General features: G+C 49.1%; 1 protein-coding gene and 1 long non-coding RNA gene across 22 annotated transcripts in view, besides 2 other annotated features; one reads left to right on the forward strand and one right to left on the reverse strand.

Annotated features, from left to right (window-relative positions):
- MYLK-AS1 (MYLK antisense RNA 1) overlaps positions 1-7,415 on the forward strand; it is a 45,309-nt gene extending 37,894 nt beyond the window's left edge. For both annotated transcript variants that reach the window (NR_038266.2, NR_121654.1), the window contains 2 exons: positions 6,088-6,275; positions 7,090-7,415. This is a non-coding gene — a long non-coding RNA (MYLK antisense RNA 1). The remainder of the gene's footprint in view (positions 1-6,087; positions 6,276-7,089) is intronic.
- The window catches only part of MYLK (myosin light chain kinase), a 274,284-nt gene that overhangs the window by 13,358 nt on the left and 248,494 nt on the right, over positions 1-12,432 (reverse strand). For 18 of the 20 annotated variants that reach the window (XM_047448184.1, XM_024453532.2, NM_001321309.2 and 15 more), the window contains 2 exons: positions 6,068-6,220; positions 3,412-3,535 (listed from right to left, as the gene is read on the reverse strand). In XM_047448184.1, coding sequence (XP_047304140.1) covers positions 3,412-3,535; positions 6,068-6,220 — 277 coding nt within the window. The remainder of the gene's footprint in view (positions 1-3,411; positions 3,536-6,067; positions 6,221-12,432) is intronic. The other 2 variants (NM_053028.4, NM_053027.4) reach the window with 1 other exon arrangement.
- Positions 5,618-6,817: an enhancer, noted in NCBI's record as "MED14-independent group 3 enhancer chr3:123347871-123349070 (GRCh37/hg19 assembly coordinates)". NCBI's record gives its function as "activates an origin of replication core promoter dependent on BRD2, BRD4, P300/CBP and CDK7 cofactors, and independent of MED14, by STARR-seq in HCT116 cells {active_cell/tissue: HCT116}" and the evidence as "EXISTENCE:reporter gene assay evidence [ECO:0000049][PMID:35650434]".
- Positions 11,916-12,210: a silencer, noted in NCBI's record as "tiled region #9008; K562 Repressive non-DNase unmatched - State 23:Low". NCBI's record gives its function as "represses a minimal TATA promoter and a strong SV40 promoter by Sharpr-MPRA in K562 cells {active_cell/tissue: K562}" and the evidence as "EXISTENCE:reporter gene assay evidence [ECO:0000049][PMID:27701403]".

The raw sequence follows: 12,432 nt of genomic DNA on the forward strand, positions 1-12,432 counted from the left end.
TTCCAACATATCTTTGTAAAATTCTTTTAATATAAATTTAAAATATACCTTCTTTCGGAATAACTTGATTCCAAGATGAGTAATATGATTAGTCATCTATACCCAGCCTAGCTTTGCTTGTAGGGATTTGTTCCCATGTCACTTCATTCCTTCTAGGGCTTTTTATGAAAACCACACCAGAATAACAAGAAGGTGCCTTCTCTGGCACAGCTGCAGAGAGTTCTGGGCCACCTGAGCCTGATCTTCCCCTCTCCCTCTGCCCCCGCCCACAGCCCACTCCACCCCACTGCACAGAACCTTGGCTGCTGCAAGAGGGAACCCTCATATTCCAAGGGGAGCTAAGGCCCTGGTGATTGCAGTTAAAATGCAGAAAACGTTTTCCTGAGGGAGCAACGTAACATGAAATGGTTAGAGCTGTTACCAGGGAAGCTACTCTTCAGGGAAACTACTTGTTGAATGGAATTTTTGTGGACAACTTTTGTGTGCAATTTTGTGGAAAAATCATTTCCAAATGTCGCCATCTATACTAAAATATAAAATTAAGGTTCATTCTCTGAATTCTACCCTTTTCTTCCCCCGCCCTTCCAGAAAACCCTATGGCTAATAATGCCGTAAACAAGAAGAAAAAAAAATTGATTAAAATATCAGCATAGGCTGGGCACTCAACACTTCGGGCAGCCAACGCAGCAGCATCGCTTGAGGCCAGGAGTTCAAGACTAGTCTAGGCAACATAGTGAGACCCTGTTTCTACCAAAGGAGAAAAAAAAATATTAGCCGGTCTGGTGGCATATGCCTGTAGTCCCAGCTACTCAGGAGGCCGAGTCGAGAAGATTGCTTGAGCCCACGAGGTTGAGACTGCAGTAAGCTATGATTGTACCATTGCCCTCCAGCCTGGGTGACAGCATGAGACCCTGTCTCTTTAAAAAAAAAAAAAAAAATCAGCACCACTATGATTCCCTGACTGATTTAACTGAAAAATTCCCTTTGCCTCCTCTCCTGTTTCCTCATCTCTTCTCTGCTCCTAGCCCCTGGGTTTAGGCATCCTCCTGGCTTTAGTTCATCTGCAGATGTTCCCAGGTGATAAGGCTGCCCCTTAACCTATAGCCTCAGCCAAGCAATATCCACTTAGACTCACTGCTCTGAGGACTGCCCCGCCCTGACATCAGCTTCCCTATCCTTTCCAGAAATATTTCTTTGAGACCTGCTGGCTACAGGATTATTAATACAGCTGACTTTGACTTTGTAGATCCTCCCCCACATTTTTAAAAAGAATATTTGCTACTCAGATCCTAGTGGCACCAAAAGGTAAGCAGCTACAGATGTTTCAACTCACCTTGCACTTGAGGGAGGCCTGGAGACCCACCTTCCCATGAGGGGTGTAGCCAGGAACTGACTTCCATGGTGGAGGAGCACAGCTGATATGTGCTCAGGATGGTGGTCACTTAAACTCCACACTTGTGGCCCCCATTCGCCTTTGCTCCCTCTTTCAACCTCTGAGTGACACTCTACTTTCTGAGGCAACTGTGATTTAGTCACCTGGTGTGGTAAATGACCAGTGTTCCAGTTGCCTCCAACACAGTGATTTCCCTTTTCTTTGCCACCCAGGCAAAGTCTCAATGCCCCTGGGTCCCTTGAGTATCCAGCTAAAAGACTCTGCTCCTGTCCAGCCAAGCCCAGCCGGAATGGGTCCGGCTCCCACCTCTGTGCCTTCTCCTCCACCTGTGCAGTCCTCTTCTCTGTATTCTGACTGAGGTTCCACACCTAATTCAAACTCCTGCACCTGGGAGCATTTCCTCATAATCACATCCAACTCTGGTTGCGACCAGGTCCGTTCTATCCATACACACCCATGGCTATGGAGAACTATCCGGATAGTTTATACATCTTGGTGCGTGTTACATCCTTTCATGTCTAGTTGCTTCAGTTCCCCATTGCACTACGTAGTCCCTGAGTAAGGAAACCATGTCCTCTCAATTGCTTGAACCTGGGAAGCAGAGGCTGCAGTGAGCCGAGATCGTGCCACTGCACTCCAGCCTGGGTAATGGAGTGAGACTTTGTCTCGAGGAAAAAAAAAAAAAAGAAACCATGTCTTCTCCAGCAGCCTAAGAATTGTAATTCTAGGTCGGGAGTGGTGGCTCACGCCTGTAATTCCAACACTTTGGGAGGCCGAGGCGGGTGGATCACGAGGTCAGGAGATTGAGACCATCCTGGCTAACACGGTGAAACCCTGTCTCCACTAAAAATACAAAAAATTAGCCAGGCGTGGTGGTGGGCGCCTGTAATCCCAGCTACTTGGGAGGCTGAGGCAGGAGAATGGTGTGACCCGGGAGGTGGAGCTTGCAGTGAGCCGAGATCGTGCCACTGTACTCCAGCCTGGGCAACAGAGCGAGACTCCATCTCAAAAAAAAAAAAAAAAGAATTGTAATTCTAATTGTGGTAATAAAAATGATAAAATAGGTGATGATGGTGATAAACTGAAAAACATCCTGTGGTTTTGGATAATAATTTTATCCACCCATGCCTTTTATCAGAGGCAGTCTTGGGGTTAAGACTATGTGTTTTGCAGTCAAGCTCTGGGTTTGAATCCTGACCCTTCTGCTTATTAGCTGTGTGATCCTGGATGGCTTTCCTAACCTTTTCTCTGCCTCAATTTTGTCTGTAAAGTGGGGATAATAATAGTACCTGCCTCCTAGGGTTAAAAGATTTAGTGCATAGATAGTGCTTTAAATGGTCCCTGACAGATGGCCTACCTTCATACCTATTAGCGACTGGGATCGCTTCTGGACACTCACCATGTGCCAGGCATTGTACTACTAAAGGCCACATGAGGATGATCTCGTGTAATTCTCATAATTATCACAACAATGCTGTGAAGTTGGTACCACTATTATCCCCGCTTTATAGATGAGAAAAATCCACAGCAAGGTTACATCATTTGCTAAGGACACATGGCTATTAACATACAACCTTCCTAGATGGTGGGACCATGTCTCTCTCTTTAGATCATGTGCCCTCCTTCATCATAAAGAAATGTGAAACCACCATACTACCACCCCATTCTCAGGGTTGACAAATGGACCTTAAAGTGATGTTGCTCATCCCAAGCCATGAAGACACAAAATGTCATTGGCTTAATCTGAATAAGGGTTTACGGTCCCCTGGGGCAAAGGTGAGCAGGAACAGAGAGACAGCTAAGCTAAGAATCCATCCCATCTCCTTGAGAAAGGGACTCTGCACTCAGGACTAAGCAAACCACTGTACCTTAATCAGCTGCCTAAATTGGTCCCAGACTACTTCAGAAATAAATTTAAACTTTCTTGGTGTGAGGCCAGGGCAAGCTGGGAATGAAAGTGGCTTGAACAACACAAATATGAGGGGCAACATCCCAGTCCAAAGTGACCCTCTCATTACCTGCCATTTCCTTCTTGCCATGTACTTCTTCATCCGGTCCTTGGAGAGTTTCTTGGCCTCCATGTTCTTGGTATCTTTCATTAGCCATGGATGCTGAAGGCACTGCGTGCAGTCCAGGCGGTTTCTGACAGAGGCAGAGATCAGGAGATTTTTGAGCAGGAGGAGACCTCAGAGACCACTGGTTAGTTCAGAAATGGGAGGCCACCTGTCCCTGGTCATGAGGGCAGAGCCCAGGGCCCCTGCTCCCGGACCATCCACCGTGATCAGGATCACTGTGCTCTTCACCTTTCTCCTCACTTGGTCTGGGTCACACTAACCAGAACCAGCATGGGTTGGTGTTAATGAAAGCCCAAGCACCAAGGAAGTGACTGGGCTCCATGGCCTGCTCTTGGGATCGAGGAAGAGTAAGTGCTGCAGGGCAGACGTTTCTGGGATTGGCTGGCACCCTATTCCAGGGTGGCGTCATTCTGCTCCTCTCATGAGGGCTGGGGCCCACAAAGCCTAATCCTCCTGCCACCCTGTCTGGAGGAGGGGAGAGTTAAATCCTAGGATAAAATCTCCGACAATCACTGAACTTTCATGTTTAATGTCTTACGGTGTTGTTGAATATCAGGTTTTTCCATTACAACTCAAAGAAGTAGGTCCTGCCTATAACCTATGAATTATGACTACTTTAGAACTGCGCTGAAACTCACTTCATCTTTCTGAAAGCTCTGGGGATCTAGAAACATTTTAGAGCCATTGCCTTAACTGTAACAGGACTAGGAAAGCCTAAAGAACCAAATGCTAACATACATAGAAAAATGACTGGAAAGAAGTATAGCAAAATGTAGTGAACTTTAGATAAAGGGATTATAGATGATTTAAATTTTATTATATTCTTCAAATCCTCTATAATTTTCATGCATTATTTTTATAGTAGGAAGGAATTTTTTTTTTAAGTGCTGATAGGTGGTGATTTCTGGTTGAAGAGAGGCTGGGTATAAGAGTTTATGGGAATTTAGTGTCTTGATCTATTTGAATAAGATCAGTTCTTTGGTGAATCCATTTTATGAGCACAGAGGGATCCAGTACAGCCTGTTACTGACTTAATTCAAGGTCAGATGAGAAAATAAGATATATACACACACAATACCTTGTTTACCAAATCTTCAGTGAATAAAGCTTGGATGACAAAAGCCATCCTTGTACCAGAGTTACTGAGGAGGTTTCCATCTCCTGAGGCACCTTGGGTGTGGGGGTCCCTCATATTGGAAGAGAATTTAGACTTCCCACAGTATCTCAGTTCTCCTTGGGTCATGCCCATTTCTGATACAGACTGTGACAGCAAAAGGCTAAAAAGATCTCATTGTCAAGGAGTGTAGAATGTGGCCTCTGGGGGAGTTTGGCCCTGAACTGGCTAAAAAGGACTGAGAGTGGGGTGCATCACAGGAAAGCCTGACAGAGCCATCTGAGACACTCCAATATTGCTCCTTCAGCAACTAACTGTGCCTTCCTGCCCCGAACAGCCATTCTTCCTCAGGGGAGCCATCGGCAGCCCCGCAAGGCTGCAAAGTCACCTGGGAGTGCAGAGCCTCCTGCCCGCCCTGGAGCCAGGCCCCTCCCCTTCTCTCTAGCACGCCACCCATGTCAACACCACCCTTCTTGGCAAGGCTACAACTGCTCCCTGGGATTGCCAAGTATAGCTCCAAGCTCCTCGGCACCCCTACAGTCAGGCCCTGCCTCATCTAGTCACCTATTTGCAGAGTGGGTGAGCTGCCCAATAGGCCAGCTGTTCTCACCTGAGTCCCACTGCTCCCTTTCCCTGGGCAGCTCTCCCTACACATGCAGAGCCCAGGACAGTTCCTTCCAGGAGATTCTGTCTAGGCACACCCACTGCCCACCTTCAGCCAACCTCCCACTCTGGTCTCCTCTACAACTCCAAGCTCCAATCTTCTACTGAAACCCAGAGGGCTTGAGTGCCTGACCTTTCCCCACAGCCCATGCATGCTGACCTCCCACTGTTCACTTTCCTATGTTCACAGCTGCAGCAGGCACAGGTGGGGAACCTCAACAGAGGAGGAGCTGGGAGAGGGCTAAGCCCAGTGGTCTGGGATCATAGCCTCCCTTTGGCCAGATGTTAGAACGTACCTGGCTGTATTCAAGCAGGCAGTTATTAAATAACTGAGATATAAAAAAACACTAAGCCAGAATAATAATAATAATCTGGGGATATGATCGGGACCCACAGAGAAGTTCTAAGATGCCCGTGTCCTCTGCTCTTGCTTGTTGAGAGGGTCCTTCCCCTGCAGCCCCTGAAGAGGGCTGTGGCTGGCCACAACTGTACCCAGAAAATAAGAAGGGTGGTCATTATTCACACAGAACAGCTGCCCCTTGCTCTGTAACGTGGTCAAGTGTCGCTTTTCAAGTCAGGTGTCTGAGCCTCTGAAGGTGAATCCCATGTCTAGCTCCAGGGGGCAGGGCCTAGGAAGTCGCCTCCCCAACCCACATGCATTCGGGTCTCTTACCATGCCCACCCTCCCTTCCTCAGGGAATGCTAGGAACGACCCAAGGCGGGGTGGCAAGGAGGGCACCCCAACAGGCAAAGGAATCCCCCTTTGCTTCCCAACACAGGGCAGGGAGTAGGGAAGCAAAGACTGAAATCCCAACTCATTACTTCATATCTTTCTTCAGCAGATTGCTGATGAAATCCTTGGCATCGTCGGAGATCTCATCGAATGCCTCGTCGTCGAAGTCCCAGGTGGCTGAGGTAACGTTGGCCAAGGTTTCGTTATCGTTGTCTCCCATGAAGGGGGAAAGGCCACTGACTCTGGAGAGACAAGAGCAGGACAGCAGGTGTGGCTAGGAGAGGGCGCGACGACCAGGTGAGTGGTAACTGAGGTCAAAGGCGAGGGTCGGCCAGCCTCCCCACCCCCAAACTCATGCTCTGTGGGCCTTGCACCTGCCTTTCTTCCACTTGTGGAAAGAAAAGAGGGTGTGGTTCACAGCCCTGTCTTTTCTTGGTCACCTGCCTCTTGACACCACCTACCTGTGAGGCTGAGGTGCAGCAGGTTGGCTTTAGATTACGGGCTTCTGCAGGGTACGCGGCAGGGCTGATAAGTCCCTCTGTCCTGGTTTTCTATTATTCCCCAAAGCCCAGGCTAGAGCCTTCTCCAAGCCCCTTCCTCCCGTGCTCCTGCCCCCTCTCTGTGGACTGGGCACATGGTAGTGATCACCACTGCACCCTTCTGTCCCCTCCTTCCCACCTCTCTCCACACACCTTCAGCTCCAAGAAGAGGGCCCGGCAAATAAGAGAGGCTCAGCAAGTGAAGTGTGTGCCCAATGGATAGATGGACTTTGAATCAGCAATGTAGGTTCGGGGAACTTGAGGCATTTATGCCAAACTAGAAAACTTCCCTATGAGGTGCCATGGCAGAGGACAGAGTGCAGCCTCTCCGCTTGCTGTATGGCCTTGGACAATTCCCTGATCTGTGTCAGTTTTCTCCTCTAAAATGGAGAAGCTGCCATTTAACTATAGGGTGGTCACTTCTTCATCCTCATCATCATCATGATGGCAGCAGACATTCATTGAGGTTTTTCTATGTGCCAGGCACTGGGTCAAGTGCCTAAAACAAGTGAACTCACTTAATCTTAACACTGCCCTATGATGCAAGTAATTCTTATAACTTTGTTTTACAGATGAGGGAATTGAGGCACAGCCCAGGCTCAAGTCACCTGCCCAAAGATTCACAGCCAGTGAGATTGGAAGCCAGGTATCTGCCTCTAGAGCCTGTCCTCTTAAATGCTATACTATCCTAACATTTCTGTAAAGATGAAGTAAATTGCAGTGTTCAGCACTGGCACCAGGCCTGGTCCACAGTAAGGAGGCGGTCCATGCCCGGAGATCTCATGCAGTTCTGCTGGGTTCCCTCCACTGCCTTACCAAGCTGTGAGTGCAGGAATGACTTTGTGACCAGCAGCTTAAGCCAAATAAACTTTATAAGGTAAAGAATTTCAAAACAAAATAGAGCAGATTTGTGGCTTACTGACCTTACCTCTCACCTCTGTGCACCTCACCTTCATAGCAACAACTCACCCCACTGTTCATGAGGGCCTTGTGAGTCAGCCTCATGGGTGTTAGACCAGCACAGTTGCCCACAGTCCCACCCTTAGACAGGCCCTGTGCTTGGTTTAATGCTCTGCTGCTGTCGTCTCAAGATTCTCAATAAGGTTTGAACAAGTGGCCCCACCTTTCATGTTGCAAATTGTGTAGCTGTTCCTGCCCTGATCTCAGCTGAGCCCCATGAGATGGGTCTGGGGGCCAGGCGTGGTGGCTCATGCCTGTAATCCCAGCACTTTGGGAGGCCAAAATGGATGGATCACCTGAGGTCAGGAGTTTGAGGCTAGCCTGGCCAACACGGTGAAGTCCTGTCTCTACTAAAAATACAAAAATTAGCTGGGCATGGTGGCAAGCACCTGTAATCCCAGCTACTCGGGAGGCTGAGGCAGGAGAATTGCTTGAACCCTGGAGGTGGAGGTTGCAGTGAGCCAATATCGCACCATTGCACTCCAACCTGGGCAACAAGCGAAACTCAATCTCAAAAAAAAAAAAAAAAAGAGAGATGGGTCTGGGGCCCTCCTGCCATCAACCTGTCAAGTTAGGGCTTTACCAATGTCCCTTCTCCCAAATGCTTATGAATCCATCATCATAAGCCAAGCACTGACAGCTTCAGGAGTAAGGCTTTGGTTGAGTTTGACAGAACAAACCCCACTTGAAATATTGGGAGAAAAAGCTTGCCATGGGAGGAACCCTCTGGTGAAACCTTTTGTAAAGAGAAGAAAGCTTTTACAATGTGAATTGTCTCATCCTAATCAACATATTTGTGTTTCTGAATAATAGATCTTTGTGGATGGGATTTTTTTTTAAAGCAAGACCCTGATTTATGTTTTAAGAAGGCAAAGAGAATCATTCTCGGTCATGTCCCCATGAGGGAAGGGTGGGCATTTACCTGTCCCCGAGTCTGCACTGTTATCTGCTGCTCCTTTCCCCTCTCTGGGCCTCAGTTTCTCCTTTTTCTTTTTTTTTTTTTTGAGACAGAGTGTTGCTCTGTTGCCCAGGCTGGAGTGCAGTGGTGCGATCTCTGCTCACTGCAAGCTCTGCCCCCTGGGTTCATGCCATTCTCCTGCCTCAGCCTCCCGAGTAGCTGGGACTACAGGTGCCCACCACCACACCCAGCTATTTTTTTTGTATTTTTAGTAGAGACGGGGTTTCACAGTGTTCGTCAGGATGGTCTCGATCTCCTGACCTCGTGTCGTGATCTGCCTGCCTCGGCCTCCCAAAGTGCTGGGATTACAGGCATGAGCCACCGCGCCTAGCCAGCTTCTCCTTTTATACATCAAGGGGACTAGGCTAGATTTCCTAGGGGCCTCCCAGCTCTCTCTGTCTCTGTGACCCCGACCCCCACGTGGCCCATGCAAGCCCCATCAGGAAGCAGCCTGTCTCTTGCCTGTCAGCCACCTGCTGCTTCTTTACATTTTCCACTGGAAACAGAGAGGGGGGAAGTCCGGCAGTACTCCAAAAGATGGCAGGAAAAGCAAACAACCCTGCTGTGGAATGCAGAAAGTTCCCCTTCTGCAAACCTCCCTTCCTTATTAGGAACTATAATCCTGCAAAGATAGGTCTTAATCTCTGCAACTCTGGGCACAGTCAGGGAGAGCCTCCTCGCCTCTGGCCTCTGGCACTCCTCCTTCCTGGCAGCCTATCCATCTGAAATACTCTCCTCACCCTGCCTGGCTCCTTGCCTGCCCAAGTTCCCCCAGCATTCTTCCTATTAAAGAGCATGTGTCTGGAATAAAAAATATAATACATACACAGCATGTTGACAAAGAGGGTGTTTGAATTTTCAGTAATGCTGTTGCTGGGTGGTGGGGTTTTACAGGATTTTTAAAAACCTTTTTGGGGAACTTTTTCTTTGTGGCAGAATTTGCATAAGGGATCATGTCTTTTAATTTTTTTTTTTTTTTTTGAGATGCGGTCTTGTTCTATTGCCCAGGTTGGAGTGCAGTAGTGCGATCTCAGCTCACTGAACCTCTGGCTCAAGCGATCCTTCCACCTCAGTCTCCTGAGTAGCTGGAACCACAGGTGCGCGCCAACACACCTGGCTAATTTTTTGTATTTTGGTAGAGATGGGGTTTCACCATGTTGCCCAGGCTAGTCTCAAATTCCTGAGCTTAAGCAATCCTCCCACCTCTGCCTCCCAAAGTGCATTACAGGCATGAGCCACTGTGCCCAGCCTTGTCTTTTTATTTATAAAATAGTCATTATTATTATTTCTTTTTATTTTTTTGAGACAGAGTCTCGCTCTGTCACCCAGGCTGGAATACAGTGGCGTGATCATGGCTCATTGCAGCCTCAACCTCCCCAGGCTTAGGTGACCCTCCCACCTAAGCCACCCAAGTAGCAGGGACCACAGGCGCACGCCACCATGCCCAGCTACCTTATGTATTTCTTGCAGAGATGGGGTTTTGCCATGTTGCCCAGGCTGGTCTCAAACTCCTGGGCTCAGGCCATCCACTCACCTTGGCCTCCCAAAGGGCTGGGAGTATAAGCATGAGCCACTGCGCCCAGCTAGATAACAGTCATTATTTGTTAAAAAAATCAACCGGTCAACAAATAATGTTAGCATTAAAACACCTCTTTATCTCCCTGGTCTTATCTAGTTTTTAACTAATGGATTGATCTGTTTTTCACAAAACTATAATCAGTCTGGGCAAGTCCTTGGATGCTTTACTTTTTCTTCACTGGATGTATCAAGTACAGCCAGACTCTACATGTTGATTTTTAGTGGTCAAATATTAGTCTTTGTGCTGATGAAACACAATGGTCATGAATGCAGGGCATTCTAATTTCTTAATTCTCAGCTCATTGCCAAAGAAATTCCCCCAGGGAATCTGATGTGGAAGCCTGTTTGGCTGTGGGGGCAGAAGGTTAGGAGAGCAGAGGGTGCAGAAATGCCTCTTGGACTACACTTTCTGTGTGTGTGTGTGCGTGTATGTGTGTGGGTTTTAAGAAATGGGGGTCTCGCTATATCAGCCAGGCTGGTCTTGAACTCCTGATCTCAAGTGATCCTCCCATCATAGCCTCCTGAGTAGCTGGGACCACAGGTGCACACTACTGCACCTGGCTTCTGTGTTGTGTTTCAAGCAGCAGACAGATGCCCCGACTGTACCAGTGGCCAGCTAAGGGGACCACACATCTGCTGATGGAACTACTGACTGCTAGGAAGGGGTTAGTCTTTTATCCATATTAGCCATCTGATACTCTGGTGGGAGAGCTGAGAGGGCTGAGTAGGTCCACAGGAAGAGCTGTGCATCATTTTGTGGACTGGCCGAGGAAGCAGCGACCTGGGGTTTAGTTGTGTTAGTAAAAGTTGAAGGTGGTGGCCGGGCTTGGAGAGGGAACAGGGATCCTAGGGCTGGAATCAGAGCGTATTTCCAGGCTCAGCAGCAGAGAGGGCAGCGGCAGCCCCAGGTGGGGAAGGCAGAGGTTACTGGATCTGGCTGAGGAGCCCTGCAGTCAGACCCTGGTCTGAGGAGGCCCCCGATGCCCCGGCACTGTGACCCCTCCTCAGCTGACTGGGCAGCTGTCACCAGAAGAGCTGACCTGCCTCCCCACCATACACACCTCTCCTCCCTCCTGGCATCTCCCGACCACACACCAGGGTGGGGAGGGACAGCTGACAGCTGTCTGCACCACGGTGGGTGTTGGACAAACAAACAAGCATGAATGGGAAGGCTGTGCTGCTGGGCCTGGTCAGGAAGAGGCAGGAGGAGGAAGCAGAGCAGCCATTGCTGGTTCGCTCTGGCTTGAGGGAGGCTGGGAGAGAAGGCATTGTGGAGTAGGGTGAGGGAAGGGCTCGGAGAAGAGCTGTTGTGGCCTCCCCACAGGCAGCAAGGAAGTACCAAGTCCAGGAAGTAGGGGAGGGAGACAGCAGGGGGAGGAGGGCTCTTAAACGGAGGTGGACTTAGGATTTCTCCCGTATGGAAGTGTGGCCTCCAGCTCTCTGGTATTCTCACTTCCTGCCAGAAACCACATGGGTATTGCTAACTTCAGAAGGTCTCTAGGTACTCACACAACCTACTATCTCCTTTCAGGATCCGGGGTAAGAGTGTGGGGGCTCCACGACCCCATTCTGCTCCTTCCCTATAGGGCCAGAAACTGCCCTGATGGCTGGGCTGGGTGGGAGAGAGTAAAGTCACATCGTCCTATGGTGACACGGTCTGTTGCCTTCCCTTCCAACTCCCTGGCCTCTCCATCTCTCACTGGCCCCAGAAAGGAGAACAGGAGGGGCTCTGTGGTACAAAGGTGGAAGTCGCCCTGACAGGGACTGCCCGACAGATGACTAGGCTCCAAAGAGAGGGATAGAGTGGGCCAGAGGATGCCATGAGGGCCACCAGAGAGCCTCTTTTGGGTGCTCCCAGCAGTGGCTCCAGAGTTCTGCATAGCAGGCGCTTAAAGGAAACCATCTCCTTGGCGCCAATGTTTGTTTTCAGCACCGCTCTCTGTTGAGAGCCCTGGCTTGCCGGGGGAACTCCCTGACTTCCATCCATGCTGAGAGAGCCAGGCTGGAAAAGCCCCAGAGGGCAGTGGCTCACAGTGGGGGTCCAGGAGCTAAGATGTGGCACAGGATTGATCCAGCCTGAGTCAGTGCCACCTGGCCTGGGTCCTTGCCACACACACACCCCTCCTCCCTCCTGACAACCCTCTGCCCAAGCACTGGCAGCATCAAAACTATCTTCTCCCCATTTCCAAAACTCTGCCCTAGTTCTTGGTCTTTGCTTTAAAAGTAATCTGGTAAACAAGGTAACATAGTGCCCAAATTACTATGTTCCTCCACCGAAAAGAACTCTCATTTGACAATAAAGTGCCCTATGACCCAATTATTCTAGTTCTAGATTATATATCCAACAGAAATGTACAAATATATTCACTGAAACACGTGAACCAGAATGCTTCCAATGGCCAAACTGGAACCCACTCAA

This window comes from Homo sapiens, chromosome 3 (genome assembly GCF_000001405.40).
Source record: "Homo sapiens chromosome 3, GRCh38.p14 Primary Assembly".
Lineage (NCBI taxonomy): Eukaryota > Metazoa > Chordata > Mammalia > Primates > Hominidae > Homo > Homo sapiens.